This window comes from Homo sapiens, chromosome 2, assembly GCF_000001405.40.
Source record: "Homo sapiens chromosome 2, GRCh38.p14 Primary Assembly".
In the NCBI taxonomy this organism is placed as follows: domain Eukaryota; kingdom Metazoa; phylum Chordata; class Mammalia; order Primates; family Hominidae; genus Homo; species Homo sapiens.
Window position 1 is genome coordinate 99,903,186 of NC_000002.12, and position 27,027 is coordinate 99,930,212.

Sequence of the window (27,027 nt, forward strand, 5' to 3'; positions counted from 1 at the left end):
CCATTTAGAGAGAAAAACTGCCAACCAAATTATGACACGTAATAGATTGTAAGACACAGTCCAATTTCAGAGCTATTAAAATGTGAGAAATGTGTATCTTTTAATCAATGATATATGGTAACAAACTCTCTTCTGCTTTATCTCCAGCATTTGGAAAAGTGCTTGGCAACAGTAAACACTCTATCAATACTTTTTGAGTACAGGAAGAAATAATAAGTGAATATTCAAAACAATGAAATAGGTATGTATCTTGCATTTAAGACAATTATAAAATGATTGGCACTGATCAAACGTTTTAAAGAGCAGTAGTTGCTTTATATACCAGATTATCTCTTCTTTAAAATTAGAGTTCAAGAAATTGGAATATCAATAATAAACTATTTACAGACTTCCATCACATAGATAACATCATCAAGTTTAAGATAAATAAAATCAGATATGAATTTAATGAGATTTTTAAAAACTAGATGGTGAAAATTTCTGTTATAGTTTGAAATATATTTGTATTTGTCTCCTAGTTGACTTATCTCTCAGGTCTGGGGTATCTTAATGTTACTAGACACCCTATAGGCTTCTGTCTTGAGTCACATCCATTTGAATGGAAAATGCCATTTTATCATTGCTAACAACCTGCTGATGCTGCCAATTACGAACCTTCTTCCTAAATACATTACAGGAAGTCCACTCTATTTATCTTCTCTATCTGACATCCTTTTAAGACATTCCCAGTAGACAGCCCTTTTCTAAATGAAGAGAGAATTTAATAACATCTCATTCCTGCTTAAATTTGCTAAGTTTAAAGCAACTGTTTTATATATCTTCTTTATTAATTTTATCATTCATCTGAAAACTCTTCTCTTTTCTTCCTCACTTGTTCTGCCTTCCTGGGCTCATGAGTATGAAACTGGAAACTAGATACGTCATTTCTGATAGCTTTACCATCTGACGCTCAGCTGGAAATGGAAGCTACGATTTCCCCAAGCCTTGATCTCCATGTATAAATGCTGGGCCTGTCAGGTCTGAGATAAATCTGTGTCTCCTCTGTGCCCAATACACAATGCAAAACAGGGTCCACGCCCCTGGAGAGTAGCTAGGCAAGGACATCATGTTCTATCTTTAAAATAAAATGCACATCCTCCCATTAAATGGCAAATCCTTCATTTCTAACGGTTGAATAGGATGGTACTTACAAATGAATTCCACTTGGTTAAATTTAGAGTTCGGAAAAAAAAAAAAAGTCCTATCCAAAAATACACTCTGCCTTGGGGCCCTTTTTGTCTGATTTTGAATTAATGTATTTACACCCTTTCCTCTCAGTATCTTGTGAGACAAACACTAGTTGATATAACAATATCAGACTCTGAAATCTGAAACTTGAATACTCTGATTTAGTTCCTTGTACAGTTATTTATTTAAAGGGGGCTTTCTTTTTATTAATATGCTTTTCAGGGAGGGCACTATTGAAAGCTTGTGTGTTTTTCATTTTGTTTGTTTCTTCAATAATCAACCTTCCCTTTGCCGCTTCCCCAGACAACCCAGGAGTCCCTCCTTTCCCACAGGGAGAGGGGAAGATAATCCCGAATGAGAATGGCCCGTTCCATAGCCTGTCTCCTTCAAGATTCTCTCTGCAAAACTAACATAGGTGGGTCCTCTTTTTCAGGGCCCCTTAGGTCTAGAGTTCGAGCCGTTCCCATATTGCTGGTGCTTGCAGCCCTCCCCACAGCAGTGCTGGGCTGCTCCAGGATGGTGCCTAGGTGCCCAGTGGCCCCATCATCCTGACTCCCCTTTCCTCCAATCTCCCCACTGCTGCTCCCACCACTGGCTTCTTCCTCCTCATGCCAGACTTTGTGGCCTTCTCCTCTGTGGCTGTCACTCCAGCTTTTCCTCCTCCTGCTCTCTCTACCACCTCTGCCCCAATGCTGAGACAGCCCAGAAACATGCTACCCATGGCAGCATCAAGGGTTGTGTTCTGGCTGCTCACAACTTTGTGGGAATCTGATGGCGCACGTCTGTTCTGGAGGAACTTGCTGCTCTTGCCCTCCGTGGAGCCCACGTCTTCACAGAGTTGCCCTGGAGATGCCTGCTCAGGTTCTTGCTAGCCTAACCCTGCCTGTCTGGGGAAAGGCTTCCAACAAGAACTTGCATAAGAGCTATCCTGGTCATGGTGACCATCAACACAGAAGGCCAAGGATGGTCACCCATGAGCCTGCCTCAAATTCTCAGTCCGAATACTTTTTGTCTGCCCCTCTGCCCTCCCTTCCTCTTGCTCAAAAATTAAGACTATATCATCAGCTACAGTTTCTTCTCTTGTTGTTTCAGATGCTGGTTATTGTAAAATGCCAAGGAGGAACCACACTGGCTTATTGTTTGTTCCCTTTGCTCTCCTGTGTTTATTCCTAGCTTCCTGCATTTCTGCGTATTGGCACAAATATAAGGCTTTTGTTTGAATTTTATATTTCAAAAACTATAACAGATATTCATGAGTTTAATTTAACTGTCTACTTACTAGCAGCCATGCTTGTTAAGGGCTGCAATAAACCAACTGAAAAATTAAGCACTCCACTTCCTCACATCCTAAGCAATGCATTATTTTAAGAGTCCTGTCATTAGGAATTCAGTTGGTACTCATACCAGCAGCAGCAGATCCTAATGACTCCATTTGGTATTCATACAGATGTTATCATGTATCACGCCCTCCACTGCCATCAGAGAATCATTCCCATTCAATGTTTTTTTTTTAATTCCCTGTGTTTGATAAATACGCTGATAATCTTTGCTCTGCACAATAAAAGAATATTAAATTCAGGCCTGACTAATGCATGGCTGGAAACATAAAAGAAACTTTCATAGGTCCCAACACCAAAATACTCTGACCTATTCCTACTACTCCAGCCAGCTGATTTTTAGGCATTCTTACATTTCTGGACGCCATTCTAAATAATGCGAAGATAAAACTCTCTAAATTGAATCTTAAATCTTAAAATGTACCAAACCATAACTACCTTTGACTGTTTACTTTTATCATGCCAGATATTCACTTGATTGTCTTAACAGCCCCATGAAGCCAGCATTATTAACCTCATTTTATGCAGGAGGAAAGAGAAGCAAAGAGGTTAGGAAACACGCTTGGCCACAGAGTGAGGATGTGGCAGAGCTGGGCTTCAGATTCAGGACTTCTCAACTACCAAGTGGGTGCTTTCGGACCTATGTGTCAGCCAGCAATGTAACCCTACCCCTATCTATCTGGGATGGTCAGTTCTATATGTCAATGAGGCAAGACCTCAGTCCCCAGTCATTCAATCAAACAGAAAGGTTATTCAATCCAGGTCTTTCTGTGAAGTTATTTTGTAGATAAGATGAAAGTCGATAACAATAATAAAAAAAAGTCTATCATCAGTTGACTTTAAGGAAGAGCATCCCAGACAACCTGGGTGGGCCTGATTCAATCAGTTAAAAGGTTCTAAGGGCAGAAATGAGGATTCCCTGAAGAAGAAGAAATTCTACTGGTGGACTTCAGCTTCAGCTCCGGACCACATGTTTCTTTCTACACTGCTCTTCCTGATGGCCTGTCCACGGCTTTTGGACTTGCCTGCTAGCCCCATATTCGTATAAGCCAACACCTTGCAATCAATCAATCAATCAACCTACCTATCCATATTACACACACACACACACACACACACACACAATCTATGTACACATCCATATATCGCCTACTGTTTCTGTTTCTCTGTTGGAGCCCATACTGGTACACCACTGAAGGGCTTTTACTGACGACTGAAGAGCTCTCAGGTGCTAATACTATGCCAGGCACTCTCACCTGTTAATGTACTACAAGTCTATATGTGTACTACATGCCAGGCAATTACTGAATGAGCCACAGTCTTTAAAATCAACCTCCCTCAACCCCTTAATGACAAGCAATTTAATTCTAGCAACACTCATGGCTATTTCTCCTTTTGTAAGCTGGGCCTCTTTTTATCCTAACGGAGGTGGAAAGTTACAACCCTTCCTCTTCACAATCTGAAGCCACTCGTGTTTATCATGTCATTGATAAAAAGATGATAAAATTATGTAAAACCTGTAAGTTGCCTAACACTGTGCCAATTCTGTTCACTGTGTGTAATTTTATTATTTTATATAATTAACAAGTTCATGCAAAACTCAGTCATTCTATGTGCAAGATTAAAGTGAAGTAATTCGAGTATTACCAAAATATTATTCCTTAGACACCAGTTTAGAAAAGCCTATTCTTCTCTTCAGGTTAAATAACCCACGCTTTCTTAATGCTTCACTGTGAATCATGCACCCAGACTTGGAATTACCTCCCTTGTCTGCTGTGGAGCTTTTACTATTCTTTTTTTTTTTTTCTCATTCAAAGTAGCTAACATTGCCTTTGGTCTTTTAATAAATGATTCTGAATTGTTGAGGAATTCTGGTTTTTTTCTTCTTGTTGTTGTTTTGTTTTTTTTAGATAGGGTCTCACCCTGTCACCCAGGCTGGAGTACAATGGCACGATCCCAGCTTACTGCAACCTCCGCCTCCCAGGTTCAAGCGATCCTCCCACCTCAGTCTCTCGATTGCAGGTGTGAGCCACTGTGCCTTGCTGGAATGCTACTCTTAATATAAAACAAATACTATGTTTACTAACCACATTCATTCTTGGGTTCACTGTATCCTTTTTGTCCCACTAGAGTCTACCTTCTGATTCTCCCCTTCCAAGCAAAGAGAATCTTGATCCTTTACTGTCAGTCTTGATTCGAGTGAATGAGTACTGGCCTATGACCATGGGATGCGTACAAATTATCTGGTCTTTAACAAAACTGTCTGCCTGATGCTTGTTTCCATTCAGGTGGCTTATGCTTGCCCAACTTTCTCCTATTTCATAAATTTTAATCTGTTTTGGCTATGTCACCTCCTGCCTATTGGTCTAAACCAATAACTGGTCACCTATTTGCCACTGAACATAGTTTTCAACTTTTCACTCATGTCATTGATCAAGAGATGAATAAAAATAACCTTTTTTTGGAATAGGTGGGGAAAGAATTCCCTATTTAATAAATGGTGCTGGGAAAACTGGCTAGCCATATGTAGAAAGCTGAAACTGGATCCCTTCCTTACACCTTATACAAAAATTAATTCAAGATGGATTAAAGACTTACATGTTAGACCTAAAACCATAAAAGCGCTAGAAGAAAACCTAGGCAATACCATTCAGGACATAGGCATGGGCAAGGACTCATGTCTAAAACACCAAAAGCAATGGCAACAAAAGCCAAAATTGACAAATGGGATCTAATTAAACTAAAGAGCTTCTGCACAGCAAAAGAAACCACCATCAGAGTGAACAGGCAACCTACAGAATGGGAGAAAATTTTTGCAACATACTCATCTGACAAAGGGAATATCCAGAACCTAAAATGAACTCAAACAAATTTACAAGAAAAAAACAAACAACCCCATCAAAAAGTGGACAAAGGATATAAACAGACACTTCTCAAAAGAAGACATTTATGCAGCCAAAAAACACATGAAAAAATGCTCATCATCACTGGCCATCAGAGAAATGCAAATCAAAACCACAATGAGATACCATCTCACACCAGTTAGAGTGGCGATCATTAAAAAGTCAGGAAACAACAGGTGCTGGAGAGGATGTGGAGAAATAGGAACACTTTTACACTGTTGGTGGGACTGTAAACTAGTTCAACCATTGTGGAAGTCGGTGTGGCGATTCCTCAGGGATCTAGAACTAGATCTAGAACTAGGAATACCATTTGACCCAGCCATCCCATTACTGGGTATATACCCAAAGGATTATAAATCATGCTGCTATAAAGACACATGCACACGTATGTTTACTGTGGCACTATTCACAATAGCAAAGACTTGGAACCAACCCAAATGTCCAACAATGATAGACTGGATTAAGAAAATGTGGCACATATACACCATGAAATAGTATGCAGCCATAAAAATGATGAGTTCATGTCCTTTGTAGGGACACGGATGAAGCTGGAAACCATCATTCTCAGCAAACTATCGCAAGGACAAAAAAACCAAACACCGCATGTTCTCACTCATAGGTGGGAATTGAACAAAGAGAACACATGGACACAGGAAGGGGAACATCACACACCGGGGACTGCTGTGGGGTGAGGGGAGGGGGGAGGGATAGCATTAGGAGATATACCTAATGCTAAATGATGAGTTACTGGAGGGAGGGGGGAGGGATAGCATTAGGAGATATACCTAATGCTAAATGACGAGTTACTGGGGGGAGAGGAGAGGGATAGCATTAGGAGATATACCTAATGCTAAATGACGAGTTACTGGGTGCAGCACACCAACATGGCACATGTATACATATGTAACAAACCCACACGTTGTGCACATGCACCCTAAAACTTAAAGTATAATAATAATAAAAAAAAAAGAAAAGAAAAAAGAAAAAGCGTTTCTCCACAGAGTGGAGAAGTTCTTTTGGGTCTCGGTATAGGCCATGTCAGCTGCACAGTGAAAACCAAGAATGTGGCATTCCTTGCAAAGAAAGGAGATTCATTTTGAAATTGCTTCTCAACTTTCACGTAAATTATGCCCAATATTTTAACACATTGACAATATGATCAGCTTTCTACTTCAGAATGTGCTGAGTTTTTTCCCTATCTTTATGCAGTTGTGAAGTACCTATGAAACCAAGTGGATAAACACAGTGTTATGGGCTGAATTATATTCTGCCAAAAGTTCATGTGTTGAAGTCCTAACCCCAGTTCCTCACAATGTGACATTATTTGGAGATAGGGTCTTTACAGAGGTAATAAAGTTAAAAAGAGCTAAAAATAAATAAATAAATAACCTTCTTATGTATAGCCGCAGTATGTTCAATCTGAAATGAACTTTGAAATACAAAATGTACTGATTTGGATTGAAAAGAGCATTACTACAATGCTATCCCCTGCCTCAGAGACTATTCGCTAAATATTAATTCTATTAAAATGACCATTCAGGAGAAAAGCACTCTTAATACCTGATTTGAGAATAAGCATACTTCTGTTTAGACAATAATAGAAAACAATTCTCCCATTATTTATTCACTAAGCATTGGTAGTTAGCATTTTTATTGCTCATTTGTTTTCATTTCCAAGCAGATTTTTCAAAACTAGACTTGATTAATAATATACTATATTATGTAGTAGCATTTGGATATTATAAAACATTAAGGAAAGGTCTAGATAGAGGATACAAATATGTTCTTCCTCCACTGCTACTGTACTTCATTTTGATCACTGCATGTGCAAAGGTATGCATCAGAAACTTCTAGATGAAAACTGCTAATTATTACAAGGATGCCATAAACAATCTTGCCTTCTGCATCACTGTGTAATAGTGCAAACAGGAATAACATGTCTTGGACCAAAGTGTAAGGAAAACTGTGCTTCTCTAAGTTGCTAAGTTGATATTTAAGGACAATATGACTCTCAAAGCCCTTCGAGTTTCTCTTTTAACTTCAGCTGCTAGGAAGCTCAAATCCTGTCTACAGGCTACTTTTACTTACAATGTAATAATTGCATGAATTTTAACAAGTCACCTTACATTCTTTTCTAAAGAAGGACATAAGAATAGCATTGTAGTTTGGAAGGCTAAGATATATGTGATCATTTCGGGAGCTCTGACCAGCTTCGCTGTTTGGCTGGACAAATCACATAATTAGAGCTAACATTAGACACTTCTCCACATAGGAAATTAAGACTCTACAATGCCTTCCCTCTTATCCAAGCTCACTCTGATATTTGGTGAAGTTTAACTGAAGAATCTTAAAAGAAAGCTTTTACATAAATGCTAAGGAAGGCATAAAAAATGCTTCTGATTTGCGCACACATGCCGTATAATAACCCAGTGCAGTGTCTGAGTCAGAGCTGCTAGGGTGTGGGCTTCCTGGGGCGGAGCACCTTAGTCCATCTATTCTGTTAGTTGTCTGATGCTTTCCTTTTGACAATCGATTGACCTGTTTTGTAGGAAATGTGGCACTATGGGTCTTCATGATTTTGCATGATTAGCCGGGCATGGTGGCACATGCCTGTAATCCCAGCTACTCAGGAGGCTGAGGCAGGAGCATCACTTGAACCCAGAAGGTGGAGGTTGCAGTGGGCCGAGATCGTGCCACTGCACTCCAGCCTGGGCAACAGAGTGAGACTTCATCTCTGGAAAAAAAAAAAAAAAGAAAGAAAATGCACTTTTTATGCTGAGGGACAGGCAGTGCAAAGGATGTGAGTCTGGCTGCTGTCGCAGGTTCTGACCCCTTTGACATGGAAAAATTCCAAGTAGGAAGGTTCAGTAGTCATTTGGGGTTTCCAGTGCCCTAGGACTCATACTGAACTTTACTGATCAACACTTGAACTGCACAGAAATGCAGCTTGTAAATGCAGGTATTATGTATTATTTGCAAAATGGTCCTTTGAAAAATTAAGCTGCTCTCCTCAGCAGCAGCTGCCATCATCTCCCTGAAAGAAGGCTCAGTGGTAAACGAATGGCAGCCCAGGGGCTGCAAGGAAAGACTTGTATCAAAAACATGTGCACCACAGACACAAAACCCACTACCTGTGCCAGGTGTTAGAGAACTCTGTGTTGTTATGCCATAATGTGAAGTTTCAAGAAGAGGTGAGTATCTGCAAAGCAATTTAACATTTTAAAAGCTGTAGGTGGTAAAGGTTAACCTCCCTGGTGATTCATCAGGACTGTCTTGTTAAGAGTGGCAGAATTTACAAGCACAAAATAATAGCTGGCAGGAGAAAGTGCCCAAATGAAAGAGGAATAGAATCCATCTACAGCCAGCTCACCAAGCCTCTGAAACAGGATTCCTTGGCATGTGGAAGTAATTCAGAGATCAATGGGAGTAATATATTGCTCTTTAGCCCAAAGGAGAATAAGGCTACATTCACACAACTAAGGAATAGTGAGTCCTGATTTCTACAAGAGATTAGCCTATAAAAGGAAGACTGTCCTATTTATTAACATAAGAACCTAGCATTATTAGAGGCTTAGGGCAAAACTCCACCTTGACCCATGCGAAAATATTTGCCCAGAAACTAACAATCAATTGTTTTACATTTAGCTAAAGTTTTATGCTTGATGACAAACATAGTCCATAAATGCCACTTGGTAATTTGCATTGGTAAAAACTAGCCAAAAGTCACACTTAGGGCATATGTGCTTCCAAATACCGCATAACTTGTTATAACATGTCCTCAAATTTACAACTATGCTGTATGTCCCCATTAAAACCCAATAAATAATTTCTCTTCACCAGTGATTATGAAGATTTTTCTTCATTAGAGTAGCTTCCAATCATGCAGTGATTTCAAAAGGTCCTATTTTTAACCCCAATAAACATAGTTGTATTTCTCACCAAATGGGCCCTCGAGATCAGAAATCACTAGGATATGAAAGAGATAGCTACATACTCAATCAGGAAACCATAAATTTAATGAGGCAAAATCTCACAGGGTCATACATACCCAATGGATAACATAGGGAAACAAATTCTTAGCTTACTGTTTCTCTATTAGGGATTGATTTTTGCCCTGCCAAAATTGCATATCCATGAGCAAAATAAATTGTTATGGCTACTTTAAGTCACTTAATTTTGCAGTACTTTGTTACACGGCAATAGCTAACCCAGAAATGTCCTTAAAGAGATTTCAGAGATGCATGTGAAGGGCTGTCCTCTTTACAGAGACACACACTAAGTAGGACCAAAATAGACAAGAGAAAGGAAAAACCTCCATCTGCGCCCCAACACACTGTTCCCCACTAACCCCACACTCCATCAGAGCCTAGACTCACAAGCCCTTTACTGTGTTCTGATAACCACTGTGACAAAACCAATTCAATTTCACCCCTTCAGTTCAGAGGGGAAAAGAAAGAAGAGAAGGAAGTAATTTAATGACAAAGACAGTGTCTTATTCAGCTATAGCCCCTACTGTACCTACATACAACAGGAAACTTTATATAAAGAATTATTTTAAACAAATATTGAATTCTAGATAGCAGCCTTGATTTTCACAATGTTAGCAATTTTGAATCCACTTTTTTGTGTATTCTGATATTGATCAAATAAGTAAGTATACTGTGGATAGTGGGAACAAGTTTTCTTATAGTCAGAGAAGGGAGTTATAAATGCAGAAGCGGGAACACTAGAATAAACCTGTGAAACTGGACTGGAATTGGAGATGTCAATATGAACCCTAGTTTCTATTAGATAGATTGGTAGACAGATAATAGATGATCAATACTGAAGTAGATGTGGACAGATATACGTATGTATATGTATATATGCACATGAAATACATACACAGTCTAGCTCTGTCCAATGAACGGGCCTAGAACACACAACACTTAAGTAGTAATGAGCACATGTGGTATCCGGATCTTGGTTTCTAAATACCATGTCCGCAATCAAAGGAACCAGGGCTCTCTTGAAAACTGGCTGATTCTAGGTTGGGGTTGTAGAATGATGAAATGATTCTAGAACATCTTGCTATACTGGAAAAAGAAATAATGAGGAATGATGGGGATATGTCAAATGAAAACAAGCCAACTTGAAGGGGATCCCATTGACCAAATCTCAGATAATTTGACAAAAAAAAATGTGAATAATCAATCATAACCTACTGAATAAAATAAAAATCCATGAGTTCATACTGATTAAATATAAATAAGGTAGAAGAGAAAGGTCTTCCTTATAGAGGAATGCCAAGTAATAAATGTAGAAATAATGATGCATTTCTAGAAAATCACCATTTGGCAAGCACCACTGTATTAATTGCTTCTGGTAGGTACCACCAACGAATGCTAAAAGTAATGTCTGAGAGCTTGATGAAAAGATGTCTACACGGTCTCAAAAAGATACTTATTAATAACTTCAGTGGAGAAACTTGGCAGATACCCTCTTAACCAAGTGATGGCATTCACATCACCAGTAATGGGACAAATCAATGTCACCTGCCTCTTGACATGATGTGCAACGAACTGAGAAGGACCAGCATCTCTCCTGGGTATTCCTGCAAAAAAATGTAAAACTTGAATCTAATCATGATAAAATATTAAACAAACCTAAACTGAAGAAAAGTCTGAAATGCTGGCTTTTATTCTTCAAAAATGTAAAGTTTGTAAGGGACAAAACAAGCCCAAGGAACTGCTACATATTAAAGGAGCCTAAAGAGACATGTGAACTAAATGGAAAATGCATGAGCTTGAAGTGGATCCTGGACCAGGAAGGTGAAAGAGCCATCATTAGGACAACGTGAGAAATTCAAATAAGGTCTGTAGATTATAGCATTGTATTCATGTTAACTTCTGGATTTTGATCATTATATTATGGATATGTAAGAGGATATTCTTGCTTTCTGGGAAATACACACTGAAGTATTTGTTAATAAACATCATGCTGGCCGTGTGCAGTGGCTCATGCCTGTAATCCCAGCACTTTGGGAGGCCGAGGCGGGGGGATCACAAGGTCGGGAGTTTGAAACCAGCCTGGCCAAAATGATGAAACCCCATCTCTACTAAAAATACAAAAAAAAAAATTAGCTGGGCATGGTGGCACACGTGTGTAATCCCAGCTACTCAGGAGGCTGAGGCAGGAGAATCGCTTGAACCCAGGAGCTGAGATTGCACCACTGCACTCCAGCCTGGGTGACAGGGCGAGACTCCATCTCAAAAAATAAATACATTAATTAATTAATTAAAATAAAATAAAATAAAATAAACATCATGCCTGCAACTTACTCTCTGTAGATGTGTAACACATGTGTTATACATACATATACAGAAAGGGGCAGATCAGGCAGGGTAGGGCAGGGCAAAGCAACGTGGTGAAGTGTTCATGTTTAGGGAATCTGAATGAAAGGTGTAAGGGAATTCTTTGACTCTTCTTATTATAGCTTTTAAGTATGAAATTCTTATGTCTTAAAATTAGATTGACATAAAAAGATTTTAAAAAGGCTCTCGATAATGGAACAGATTAAAACGTTACATATTATCATCTGACAGCAGTTAACATAAAAAAAAACCAGAGCCACATGGATCAATAGGGATATCAATAGGGATCAAAAGGCAAGTTAGATAATGTCACGGACAGCATGGTACCATTTACGTAATTTAAGACACATACAGGAAACATCACTACACGTTATTTATATAAACATACAAATGTAATAAAAGCCATACAAACCTGGCCTGGATACCTATTTAGTTTCATCATACTGATGATCTCTGCGGTGGAGAAAAAGGAACTGAGAATGGGAGTAAAAAGCAAAAGCCAGGGAGGGGAGTTCAAATCCCTTTGGAGCCAGGGCTATCCGACGCAGGCACAATCTGGACAGTCACACAGGGCCTTGAGATTGGTTTAATTCACTGCCTGATGCCTTGAAATTCTTAACAATTTTTTAATTATTAAATTAATTAATCCCACATTTTCACTTTGCACTGGGCCCCATGAATTATGTAGCCAGTCCTATTTCTTTTACTTCTTTCATAAAAAAATAACTGAAATGAATTTGCTATTTCTGGGTAGTACACACCCAGGTGTTTACTGTATTAGTCTATGTACTTTTTGGGATTTAAATATCTTTTTCAAATTTTTAATTATGGAATTGAATTGAGAAGAACCAGCTTCTCTCCTGGGGATTCCTGCAAAAAATATAAAACTTGAATCTGATCATGATAAAATATTAAACAGACTTAAACTGAAGAAGAGTCTGAAATGCTGGCTTTTATTCTTCAAAAATGTAAAGTTTCTGAAAGACAAAGCAAACCCCGGGAACTGCTACTTATCAAAGGAACCTAAAGAGACAATCTGAACTAGATGGATCTTTTCTCAAGTTCACCTTAAGGTGTTACTGTAGCCTGTGGCCATAAAACTGGGAAAAACCCCATAACAAATCAAAATTCAGCGTTTCAAAGTGGGGTGGCCCTACAGGAGAGCTCAGTTAAAAGAAAAGCTCTCTGCCTGGGACACTCTTCCCTTCTGCGAGACCTTAGCATTACTTCTTCAGACATTTTCTTAAACTCCCCATCTGTAATCCCTCCCGTCCTGCCTGGACTATCACCTCATCCCTCACCCTGTTTTGGTTTTTGCACAGCATTTACTACTGTCTAAAAGTCTATCACTTATTTACAAAGTTACGCATTTTTTATTCTCCCTCATCAGAATTTGAGCCCTGGGAGGTCAGGGGATCTACATGCCTCGCCTCCTGCCATGTCCGCAACACCTAAAACAGGACTTGGCACACAAGACATCTAATATACGGTGAAGAATTGAACTTAGGATGAGAGGCAGAGACAGAGAAAGACTGGCAAAGATGGAGAGAGGCCTAAAAGTATCCATCCTTTTGGAGAAAGCTCAGAGCAAGATCTTCCAACAGGTTCTCCAATGGCCTGCAGTATGCAAGCACAGTACAACCACAGTCAAGAACCAGCAGGCCAGTGGCACACTGGTTCTTGAAAATCACCATCTCCAGTCACGTCCTGAGAACGCATATCATGGTAACACTCCCTAGGCAGAATTAGGAGCCACTTCTTCAGATGCAGCGGCCTCCCTAGGTCATCAATTCTGGTTGTCTCAAACTTCACAACAGGGGAAGGCTGTGACCGAATCTCATCCTCATGAGGCCACAAGGCAAAGACACCTGCAAAGATGAGGGGCCTGATGCTTAAGGGCGGGGATTCCTTGGCATCTCCTTGGTGAGCTAGGATTGCCAGAGATCTCTCAGAATATTTGCACTTTCTGTGCATCTCTGCTCTTGTTCATACTGTTCCACCCCAACTTCCAACAACAGACTCAAACTTCCCTCATACACTTGCTATGATGACTGAGCCCACTGTACAGGCAGGGTCCTGGCAAATGGGGCAAGCTGGGTCCTGGCAGATAAGGGTTTAATAAAGGGACTATTTGCCTACCCCATTGCAGGGATATGGTACGACTCTGTCTGAGGTTAGAAACAGAAGGGTAGTGACCACCCTTTGGCCTGAAGGGCCAGAGCCCTGAGGCTACTAACAGGGTGTCGGGGAAGAGGAGAAGACCTCACTCTTCTGCCTCCCTCTGGTCTCTTGATACTCCTCATTGGCTGAACCCACCCAGAAGCCAGAGGGCAGGAGATCCTGATGTGGTTCCTACAGTGGACTTCCCTGGCACTAAGGGAGATCGGGGAGTGGATCCAGGAGCCACCGATAGAAGAGACTCTGCATACTCACACTAACACTTATAACAGGGAATGTGGATTCTACCCCTTTTTGTGTGAGTTCTGCCCTTGCTTCCTGTGTGCTCGCCTTGTCTCCCTCTAAGAGTTTAGATTCTAGGCTCGTCAAGGAAGGTGAACAACCCCTAAAGAGCTTAACATATAATCATACATCATATCATAGAATGACAATAATTTAGTGATGATGTAATAGATTACTGAACAGGCTGCCAGATTTTTCTATATTAAAAAGGACCCCAAAGTATGAGAATTTATGATATTCTGATAATAGTGATAGCAGTGGGTATCTATCTCATTAACAGTAGCCAGAATTCTACACAACTAATTTACATTTCTACACAGGATACAGCATTACCTAGTAAGAAAAGTAAATGATGGAGAATAGTTTGCTATTCAACAAGGAAACTGCATTATCTGCCCTGCGAACAGTGCGCAAAAAAATTCTGTTGGGTATTTATTATATGGCCGTTATATAAAAATATTACAGAAATAAAAATCCTAGGAAGAGAAAAAAAATCTTCACAAATTCTTATAGGCCTGAATGGTAATATGCTAGTGCACAATCAATTCTGATAGAAAATAAGGTAAAAGAAAAAACCTTGCTTTTTTCTTTTAGTGTAGTTTTCTAAGTGGAATAAATAATTCACTATTCCTTCAACCAAGAAACTCTCTCGCTTATTATTTAAAAATATTTACTGGTTGCAGTTACAAAATATGGTGCATTTTTCCCCCTGGCTTGCCCTTTGTATTGATGTATATCTTCTGATTATAAGAATGGTAACTCAGAAGTCATAAAGAAAAGTTTTTTGAAACACCATCTTGCTTTAGAGACAATAAGGAAAGGGTAATCAATCCAAGTTTGAAACATTCTGGGTATATCTTGGGCCATTTAGAATAATTTGAAATACCTTAAACTAGACTAATTCACATCACCTTCTATGTTCTTAAAAACTCTCCTAAAAAACATGTTCATTACCCTATTCCTAGTTCTGCAGCACTCCAGAAGGCAGAGTAACAGATCAAGTCACCACTTACCAGGTTCAGGTCCTGCCTTCCATAAGGAGAATGTCTGTTCTCCCGACAGTGTTTGTAATACTAATTGCTCTAACCTTTAATTCATTAACAACTTTGCATTCCTTTATTCATTCATTCTGACAACAAATATTTATGAGGTGAGACAGACCTAACGCAAATAGGTATTCAATGACTGTTACAGTCAGTGCTAACCTAAAGGCTACCTCACAAAAGTGGTAATTAAGTGAAGTATGAATAGTGAGTACTAGTAATTACTTGAAACCAAAACCCAGTAGAAGCAGCCTCTCCAAATGCAAACCTTTCATAGGTTTTAATCTCATTTTCAAAGGTTGTTATACAAATGAATAGCACCAACAAAATTCAGTAGAAAAACTTTTGCATGAAGACCAAACTTGGGTATCTTTGAGTCTTTGTCATTCAAAACCATTTTTGCACAAAACCACTATATTCCCCCATCTCCCCACAGAAAAGTTGATTTTCATCAGGGGAATGAAATGCCTGGCTATCCTCCTTTAAAAAGCAGGAGTTAATACCAATTCTAATCATTATTTTTACTGCTTTATGGTACATCTTAGGTTACTGTCTCATTTTTATGAATATAGACAATAATCATTAATTCCCCCCGGTAGTAGTACAGAATCATCTCCCTCCACTGCAACGTTTTCCCTCATAAAAGACATGGATGAAAAACATTTGGGGCACCTAATTCTTCTTTTATGGATGATCCATGAGCATAAAACTATTAATGTTTATCTCTTAAGTGTAATTACCATATTTCCCACATCAATGCCCACGGTTGAACACATCAATTAAAACTAGATATATAATTTTCACATTTCAGATGAATTTAATTATGTGAAATCTGTTTTATGCCCTCTTGTCTATATATTTCTGGAGGTGTTAGTTTGCCAGTTCTAGAATGGGTTGTCGAATACGGGATGGCTCCTTCTATGAACTAACCCAATCCTCCAGGCAGCTGCCATTAAGAGCAGAGAAGCCATGACTGTTCAGATTATTTTATGTTGAATAGGTGAATTCTGTTCATTTTTAGAAAACTGATATTAAGTTCAACTTACCTACAATATTTTTTATTAAAAAGTCTTCATTATTTAAAAAGTATTTCATACTAAATAATCTCTTTTGTCCCCTTCCTAACCAACTGGTAGTTCCTTTAAGACAAAAGTTAAAAGCAATACAGTTCCCCAAATTAAACCAAAAGTATGCACAAGAAAAATAATACAAATAACAGGAAATAAATGAAACAACTGAAAAATAAAAAAAAAATTAACAAAGCCAGAAGTCAGTTCTCTAAAAAGCCTAATAAAATTGATGACCATTTGGCAACACTGATGAAGATTTTTAAAAAGAGAGAAAACCAAAGTTACCAATATCAAGAATAAAACAGTGAATATGACTACAGATTATACAAAAATTTAAAGTATGAGGGAATGTTGTGAACAGCATTATGCCAGTATATTCAACAACTTAGATGAAATAGAGAAATTCCTTGAAAAATACAACTTACCAAAAGGACACAGAAAGATATAGAAAATCTAAATAACTCTATATCTGTTTAAGAAATTGAATTTGAAATTAAAGAACTTCCCAAAAGAAAACTCTAGGACTAAATGTCTCCACTGGTAAGTTTTTCCAAAAAATGAATAAAGAAAATAATACCAATCCCACACAGTGTCTTAGAAAATGAAGGAGAGAACACTTCCCAACTCATCCTGTAAAGTTATTATAATCCTAGTACCAAAACCAAAGACATTATAAGAAAATTACCAACCAAAATCCCTCATGAGCACAGATGCAAAAATCTTTAACAAAACATTATCATCTAGAAACATATAAAAAAAAATATGCCGCAATCAACTAGAGTTTATTTCAGGAATTAAAGGTTTGAAATCAGCGTAGTCCAATATATTAACACATTAAGTAGGAAAACTCATGATCATTTCAGTAGACTCAGGGAAAGCACTGACACATCTATTTATGTATTTAACATAACCCAGTTGTGTTACTACACCCATTTATCCTAAAAACTTTCAGCAAACAAGGAATAGCATTTTCTTAGCCTTTAATGCACATCTAGAAAAAATGTATAGCTAAGGGCATTTGACAGTGAAATTTTAAATGTTTTTCCCTTAGGTTGGGAAGACAAAAAAGTCCACTCTCACTATCTTTATTCAACATTGTATTGGAGGTCCCTGCCTGTACAATCAGATAAGCAAGAGAAAAAAAGGTGTACAGATTGGAAAGGAAGAAGTGAAACTCTATTATTCATCATGTGTATGTAAAAAATCTGAAAAAATCTACAAGAAAACTACTAGATCTGACAAATGAATTTAGCGATGTTTCAGAATACAAAATCTATTAGCAATAAAAATTGTTAAAAATGCTTTTTACAAGAGTATGAAAAACATCAAATACATACTTGGGGATAAATTTAACAAAAAACAAGCCAGCTTTTTATACTAAAAACTCTAAAACATTACTGAGTGAATACATAAATGGAGGGATATACCATGCATGCATGAATTGGAAGACTCAACAGTGCTCAGATGTCAATTCTTCCCAAATTGATCTAAAGATTCAATACCATCCAAGTCAAAATCTCAGCAAAGTTTTCTCAAAAGAAAACACATAAAAATACAACTTGAAACAGTCACAGACCTAAACATCAAAGCTAAAAATTGTTATCAGAAACAATGAGAATGCCAACTCTGTAACATTCATTCTTTCTATAACTCACAATTGCAGTCTCATCATGAAAAGAATTTCAGATAAACACATATTGATGGTTATTCTACAAAATTCTTAGAGTAGTCTTCAAAAGTGTCAAGGCTATAAAAGACAAGGGAAGACTGAGGAACTACAACAGATTGGAGGAAACTGAGGAGTTATCACAACCAAATGCAATGTAGTATCCCAGATTGGATCCTGGAATGAAACAGGACATTATGGGGAAAATTGTTGAAATCCAAACAAAGTCTGTAGTTTACTTAATCTACTGTAATGTTCATTTCTTGGTTTTAATAACTGTACCATGGTCATGTAAAATGTTAACATCAAGCGTAGCTGAAGGAAGTGTACGTAGGCACTCAATGTACTATCTTTGCAACTTCCTATAATTTTGAAATTATTTCAAAATAAAAAGCTTTAAAAAGAGTTATTAGAATGAAAGAGACACTTCTTGTAACACAGAAAGGAATAAATGTGAAAGAAAAATTGGACTTCATCACAATTAAAAATATCTGTTCATCAAAGAGTACCATCAAAAGAATAAACAAGTAAGCCACGAAATGAGAGAAAATATTTGCAATACATATATCTGACAAATGACTTGGATCCAGAATATAAAAACCACTCTGGTACTCAATAATAAAAATTAGCAACAACACTATAAAAGATAGGCAAAAGATTTGAAGAAACCCTTCACAAATGAAGATAGCACATGGCCAATAAGCACATGAAAAAGTATTCAACATCTTTCCTATGTAGGAAATACAAATTAAAGCCACAATGAGATACCAACACTCGCTCACTAGAATGAATAAATGAAAAAGACTAACAACACCAACTGTTGATGAGGATATGGAGTAACGATATGGAGTAACTGGAACTCTAAAAAACCGCTGACTAAGTATGTAAGATGGCATAATCCCTTTGGAAAACTCTTTGGGAGTTTCTTTAAAAGTTAAACACAAATCTACTCCATAACCCAGCACTTTCACTCCTAGGGGTTTATACAAAAGAAATCAAACCATGTATCTACAGAAATTCCTATATTACAATATCCACATTCATTTTATTCATAATAACCCCAAACTAGAAATAGCCTGGATTTCCATCAAGGGATCAGCCAACTGCGCTTTATTTATATAGAAGATTACTATTCAGCAATGAAAAAAAGAATTAATGATGCAGACAATGATACTGATGAATCTCCAAAATATTAGTACTGTGCTGGATAAAAAGAAGCCAGAAACTTAAGGCACATACTGTATGACCCCATTCCTACAAAATTATAGTTAAGTAAAGGACAACCTATGGTGACAGTAACCACAGCAAAGCCTGCTTCTGGGGGCCAGGACAGTGACTGGAAAGTGGCATGGGGGAGCTTTTAGGGGTGATGGATATGTTCTGTGTCTTGATATGCATTCATCACAACTGAGTGAAAGGTAAATTTAGTAACTGAACACTTCACTGCATGCAAATTATACCTCAAAGAAAGTAATACCGTTTTCAAGAACTAAAAGAACCATTATAAGATCTTCTCAAGTAAACATTTGAGAAGTGTTTTTTCCTTCATGCCTAGATTCTTTTCTACCTCTGGGGCTAAAATAAACCTCACGGTTCCAGGCCTCCAGCCACTCCTCTGCCAACAGTAGTCTACATCTATTTTCTACCCAGCCTTTTGGAGCTCTCAGCCAGGGAAGGCTGCTGTGTGTCCCTAAAATGCTTCTCGAACGTAGTATACTACATTCATGCTTATGCCATTCGTTCCTAGTGCAGCACCCGGAGTAGCAACCTTATAAATGTTTCTGATTTTACAAACTTTAAAAAAGAATAGTAATTTCTGCCCTATACCACCTTTGGAAGAACTGAAAACTACCATGCCAAATTCATTATGTTTTAAGCTAACTCTTCCTCACCCCACAGGAAGCACAGCAGTACTGAGCTCCATCTCCATTCTAGATAAGATACACCGAGGAAATCTGAAGACAAGGCAGAATTGGGGTTCTCTTTAACCTGGATCTATTCAGACCATACTGCTCAAAGTTCAATGGCTCCTTAGAGAGCTACAAGATTTTGTTCACACAGTGTTGATAAGGTCTGAATCACATTTGTGATGCTTACCACAGTACAGATTGTTAATTTCTACATATTAGCTTTTGATGTTGAAAAGCATACCAAGTAGCTCGAAAGAAAAAGGCTCTGGACTAAAGAATCAGCAAGTATTTTATTTCGTTCACATTCTACCCAAGTACTCTCAAGAGCCACAATTGCAAGCTCTATAAACTTAAGAGTAAACTTATATTTATGCAAAAGGACCAACGAAAGATGATCAGGATCCTCTGACGTCTAGCTGGATGTAGAGTGAGGTCCAATGAATTCACTCAAAAGAAATATAGCACAAAGCAACAATGGTTGTTCAAAATGGCAAATGAACATATTGTTCGTTCTTTTCCAATAAAAATTCAATTTTTCTTTAAGAAAAAAATTCCCAAAATATAAAATTTCTGCATCCTTGGTTTCTTACATTTAAAGAGGCAAAAAAAGAAAAGAGAACATGTTATGGCCTACCGCAATATGTGTGCTCCAAACATATTAAATGTTTGCTGCCTCTAGAGAGTCACGGTGTATAATTCACTTTTAATTTTATAATTATTACAATTAAAATTAAACAAAGGTAAAGAAAAAAATCAATACCTACCTATAAAAGATAGGAAAATCTCACTTTAAGGAATATCTCTGCTTTCTGAGTATAGAATGGACAAGAGAGAATCTGAGCAGATGACTTAATGCAGTCTACTGGGAGTGAACCTTCCTATGAATCGGCCTGCTAGATATGACCCTCAAAGAGGCATCAGACATTTCTCCAACTTAAGCTATTCCCATGTTTATTGTAACATTCCTCCCCTGAGCTCACCTGCCCTGTCCTTTCCAAGTCTCACTGAACAAACTTCGGTGTTCCACACTGGACTGGGGGATTCGGAAAATTTCCCAAAAGATATGATCCCTGTTGTGGGGGGTTAAATTATTTTGGAAAACAAATAAAAAACATACACACAAAGACAACAATGTATATCCTCTCCCTTCATCCAACACAAATCTTAAATATCCTTCAAGGTTCCACTTGTCCATCAGCTCCTTTGAGCTGTTTTCCTAGAGTTCCCAAAGAAATGAACCCTGCTACCCATATTACGATTAGCATCTTTATTATAGCTCCTACTTACAATTCATGTCTGAAATATATGTAGTAGGCTCTAAGTTCCTCTCTAGTCCTCTCAGAATTCTTTCCATGGTGCTTAGCATAGCACCTTGTATGCAGTTAGTGGTCACCAAATAATAGTTGTATTCTCAATCTTTTCATTTAAGTCTGGAGTAGGGAAGAGGGCTGTCATGAGGAGGAGGGTTAAGGAGTGGAAATCCTGCTTCTAATTACCAGCACCATTCTCCAGTCTGTCACATTACTTATAAACTCAAACTTCATTTTACCTTTGCTTACTGCAATGAATTCAACATCGATCTGGAAAAACCGACATCATGAGGTCAATCTATCACGTGCTATGCTGCAGATTTAGGAATTATTAAAATGACATATAGAACCCAAAATGCTACTTAATCAACTTAATTTTCCTGTGTCCATACACACCAAAAATGATTTATTAATTTTTTTTTTTTTTTTGAGGCAGGGTCTCACTCTGTCACCCAGGCTGGAGTGACATGGCTTGATCATGGCTCACTGCAGCCTTGACCTTCCGGGCTCAAGCAGTCCTTCCACCTCAGCCACCTGAATAGCTAGGACCACAGGTGCGCGACATCATGTTCAGCTAATTTTTTACATTTTTTTGTAGAGACAGGGTCTTACTATGTTGCCTAGGATGGTCTCGAACTCCTGGGCTCAAGCAATCCTCCTGCCTCAGACTCCCAAAGTGCTGGGATTACAGGTGTGAGCTACCACACCAGCCCCAAAGGAGAATTTTTATTTTAGAACTACAGCATGAAGTATAAATGACTACGGTTTTATTTTATTATTATTGTACATTTTTTTTCCTTTTGCTCACACTGATTTATTAAAATTTATGTCAGGCTTGACATGGATGATCAATCCTTATTTTTTCAAGCTTACTAAGGATATTTTCCTACAAAATAAGTATATAAATATGTTTATATGCAAGCCCTTCTAAGGAATGATTCTCATCATCACAGATCATGATCTAGGAATTTCTGTCAATTACTCTTGAGCTCTTTGAGGTCAAGGACTACATATTAAAGTCTTTGTACTTTCAGCACATGGCACAGTGCCTGGCACATAGTCGGCACTCAGTGAAAGTTTGTGAAATGAGTGCTCTGCCATGAGTCTTAGGCAGATGAAAGAACAACTCAAAAGTGAAGACAGACAGTATGCTGAACTCTCAGCCTTCTGCCACCACGGAAATATGTCTTTACATGCTTCCACAGGGTTCAAGTCCTGGCCCTCACTGAGGCTGTCTGGGCAGAGCATGCTGTTCAGAAGTCATGTGCAGGTAGAGTGCAGGGATGCTGCATACAAGAACATGATTAAAGACCCAGTCCCTGACATGGGCTCAGCACAGAGGAGACATTCAGTGAATGTTCAATGAAACTGCTTATGTTGTTCTAAAGCCAACAAGTTGAACTTCCATTCCCAGGGAGTTGCTGTACTATCAGGGAATCAACCAAGGTCTCACAACTATGGATCAGGAACCAATAATGTTGGGATATAAGCTGATGTCCCTTGCAACTGTGTAGTCTTTGCAGGCATTTTGATTAATATCTGAAAAAGCTGCTCACAGTTAAATGCAATCATCATTTAGCAAACATGTATTGAGCCCCAATTCAACTATTCAAGGAATTGAGGATACAAAAATAAATAATTTGCAGTCATCAGTACTCATGCAACTCTCAGGCATGGGGTTACAGCTGTAGCATAAACCAATGAGTACGATACCAGAATCTAAATATATATGCCTGGAAAGGAAAGCGAGAGAGCTAGTGAGACTGCAAGTGCAAAGTGCACATACAGGGGTGCAACAGCACAAAAGAAATTTAAGCAGTGCCATTGCTCCCACCTGCCCTTCTCCCCAGTAAGCATGCACACCCGAGTACACTGGAGTGGAAGCCCGGGGCCTGTTACCTCCTACAGTCAGGCACTGGTTCTTTACGCTTCTCATTTCTCTGCACTGAGCTGGATGCTACTGTTTAAAGATACAAATTTTTCATATAACAAAGCCTCCAAACTCAAACCACCTACTTCAGGCATTATTAATTTCTACATACACATTACACATACATACATATAGGACCGGGTAAATTAGAATACGGATTAGCTGTTTTTTGTGAGAGATTTAGGGAGCCTCAGGGACAATTTCAATTGTGATTTCTGCTTCATACTCTGAGTATGAGTCTAATGGTTCTGTGGAACAAGCAAAGTGCTTCAGAAGCATAGGAGCTGGTGCAAGGGGCAAGCCTGCCCTGCCTGGGGGTTACAGAGGATTAAGTATGGTCTGTACTGTCACGATTCAACAACCTCTTAAAAAATACAATATATGCTTAACAAGGCTTCTGTTGACCTCTTTCTGGAAGCCTGATTTCTTTCCTCCACTTATGTTAACAGATTAAAAATTTAAAAAAAAAACATAATTTTTTTAAGTAAACACAATCAGGATTTTGCCCCCAAATGTAAATCTCCAAAAAATCTGAAGTGCGGCATCACAGCCAAGTGATGCCAATCCTGGTCTACTTCTACTGCCCCTCCAACTGAGACCAGCAATCTCACACAGGCTCAGGGCATAAGCTATGTGTAGGGTGGTCCTAGAATTGTTGAGAGCCTGGACTCCTACCTCCTTAAAGGAAAGGATGTGAAAACTGCACTATGGATATCCCCACTCTCATCATGCCCCTACTTGCACAAGCCAAAGCTTGCTTCAAGTCAAAAGCTTAGGAGATGAGCAATTAAACAATTTTCCAAAGGTTTCTAAGTGAGTCAGAAACAATCCAGCCACAGGGCCTCTCCAGGGCACTCTGAAAAGTACTAAGTGTCATGCACACATGTGTCCATTGCAGCACTATTCATAATAGCAAAGACATGGAATCAACCTAAATGCCCATCAATGATAGACTTGATAAAGAAAATGTGGCACATATACACCATGGGATACTATGCAGCTACAAAAAAGAATGAGATCGTGCCCTGTGCAGGAACATGAACGGAGCTGGAGGCCATTATCCTAGGCAAATGAACTCAGGAACAGAAGACCAACTACCACATGTTCTAACTTATAAGTGGGAGCTAAATGATGAGAACACATGGACACATAGAAGGAAACAACACACACTGGGGCCTTTCAGAGGGTAGAGGGCAGAAGAAGGGAGGGGATCAGAAAAAAATAACTAATGATTACTAGGCTTAACACCAGGGTGATTAAATAGTCTGTACAACAGACCCTTAAGATGTAATTTTACCTATGTAACAAACTTGCCCATGTACCCCTGAACTTAAAATAAAAGTTAAAAAAAATTTTTTTAAATACTAAGTGTCCTAATCAGAGAACCATGAATGTACATACTGAGAGGCCCCAGAGCACGTGGGAGACTGATATGGTTTGGGTGGTTTTGTGTCCCCACCCAAATCTCATCTTGTAGCTCCCATAATTCCCACATGTGGTGGGAGGGACCCAGTGGGAGATGACTGAATCACAGGGACAGGTGTTTCCCGTGCTGTTCTCATGATAGTGCATGGGTCTCATGAGATCTGATGGTTTTAAAAATGGGAGTTCCCCTACACAAGCTCTCTCTCTGCCTGCTGCCATCCACATAAGATGTGACTTGCTCCTCCTTGCCTTCCGCCATGATTGTGAGGCCTCCCTAGCCACGTGGAACTGTAAGTCCAATTAAACCTCTTTCGTTTGTAAACTGCCCGGTCTCAGGTATGTCTTTTATCAGCAGCGTGAAAACAGACTTATACAGAGGCTGTTTCATGCTTCAGAGTCTACATAGCTATTGTGGGGCAGATGTACTAATATGGGAAGGGAAATTAAAGTTTAAGACTAAATAACTTCATGAAAATCTCAACGCAGCAGGTAAATGGCATTATGTAAGTTTTTAAAATATATAAAACATTAAGCCAGGGATTCTTCCTTGAATACAAGTTCAAGGAAGCTTGAACTTGTTCCTTGAATACAAGCTCTTTGTCCTCACAGACAACTACAAGGGAAAGCTGATATTTCCAGGTCATCTTCACAGCACATACTCACCTAATTACATTTCTATAACTAGAACAAGTTGTTGTTCTCGTAAACTTTGTTTTCCAGTGTCAGATGGAGCTTGAAAGCTGCCATGGATGAAAGACTCCTTCAAAAGTTCAGTAACTGTATCTGTGTAAACTAAGTTAGGTTCCTCTTTTTATCGTATCACTTCAGTAAATAAGGCCAGTTGTGCTCATTTGTCAACAGGAAACACAGAAAGGAACCAGAAAACAAGATGCAGCCTCCGGAGGCCGGTCTTGGCCATGTGCTGGGTAAGGTAACACCATGGCTGTGTCTTGAGACCACCCCAACCTCAGTTCACTTGAATGAAGAATTTTATAATCTCAACTCTAAGGGACCTGTCAAATTAGTCCAGGGTGAGCTCAGACCCACTCTCTTGAAGTGGCAGCAGCCTTTGATGATAACAACTCTGACCGCACAAACACTACACAGCAGTGTGCGACTCACACATCACAGAAACACCACAGGAGCCACACTTTCAGGTCTAGAAGGAAATACTGTAGATTAAAGTCAACTTTTAAAGAAGTAAAAAAAGAATAATTGACATCAGTTTAATACATTTTGGACAATTATTTAAGAAATGGCATGCGTAAATGAAAGTAAAAACTCAGCAAGGTGAAGTTGGGAGTTTGAGACCAGCCTGACCAACATGGAGAAACCCCGTCTCTACTAAAAATACAAAATTAGCCAAGCATGGTGGCACATGCCTGTAATCCCAGCTACTCGGGAGGCTGAGGCAGGAGAATCGCTTGAACCCAGGAGGCAGAGGTTGTGGTGTGCCAAGACTGCACCATTGCACTCCAGCCTGGGCAACAAGAGCAAAACTCCATCTCAAAAGAATAAATAAATAAAATAAAATAAAAAGGCTTAGCAAGGGTGAGAAAATTCAGACTCATTACGTTACTTAATCAAAATTCATAAAATTAATTTTGGAGCAATTCAGCTCCAGCAACAGAAAGAACCTAATCATCCCTTTCATCAGTAACTGCTTATCTTCTTCATTTTAATTTTATGTTGATGTGCTTATTTATTTTTATTTATTAATGAATCTAGTTTCTTGTTACCCTGGACTTCCCATATTAATAATCTGAATAAACAACCTTATTCAACACATATCTTTTTACCAAAAAATGTCCTCTTAGACAAAGCACACTCTGACATCACGTTGCCTTGCCTTCACTTGATTTAGACTCCAAGTTCACAGTGCAATAAAGTACAAGGCAATTGAGAAATTTTAAAGCAAATGTGTTTTGGGTACAGCATTTTACAACCAAAAGAGCTTTAAAATGGCATTTCTGAACAACTGAAGAGGCTAGAATGCCAACAAATATCTGAAAATGAGCATGACATTAAAATACAGTTTGACATGTTCAGTGAAAGAGAACTGGGGGTAAATGCGCCATTATACATTTTGAATTTTTAGCTTTTTTTTTTTTTAATGAGTATCTGACTTCTTCATGTGTTACAAACTCAGGAAAGCAGACAGTCTTGGGATATTAAAATAGATAAAGTGTTTTCAGGATGAGATGGAGACTGCCACAGAACTGTACACAAGCATCTCTCTAAACTTAAAGAAAACACTGATTCTGGGCTAAGAGAGTGTTTACTGTGTAGATGAGGTCTACAGGATAAACTCAATTTATCCAAATCCTGTGCCTTCCAGCCAAGAAACTATAAAAGAAGACTTTGTAGAATGAAGCAAAAAGTCATACTTCCTT

At 38.6% G+C, this 27,027-nt stretch overlaps 1 protein-coding gene across 20 annotated transcripts in view, besides 1 other annotated feature; it reads right to left on the minus strand.

Annotated features, from left to right (window-relative positions):
- Positions 1-27,027, minus strand: part of AFF3 (ALF transcription elongation factor 3) — a 597,172-nt gene that overhangs the window by 357,767 nt on the left and 212,378 nt on the right. The gene's annotated exons all lie outside the window — the stretch shown is intronic.
- Positions 1,906-2,405: an enhancer, noted in NCBI's record as "H3K27ac hESC enhancer chr2:100521553-100522052 (GRCh37/hg19 assembly coordinates)". NCBI's record gives its function as "activates a minimal SCP1, AML or CMV promoter by ChIP-STARR-seq in primed H9 embryonic stem cells {active_cell/tissue: H9 hESC(primed)}" and the evidence as "EXISTENCE:reporter gene assay evidence [ECO:0000049][PMID:30033119]".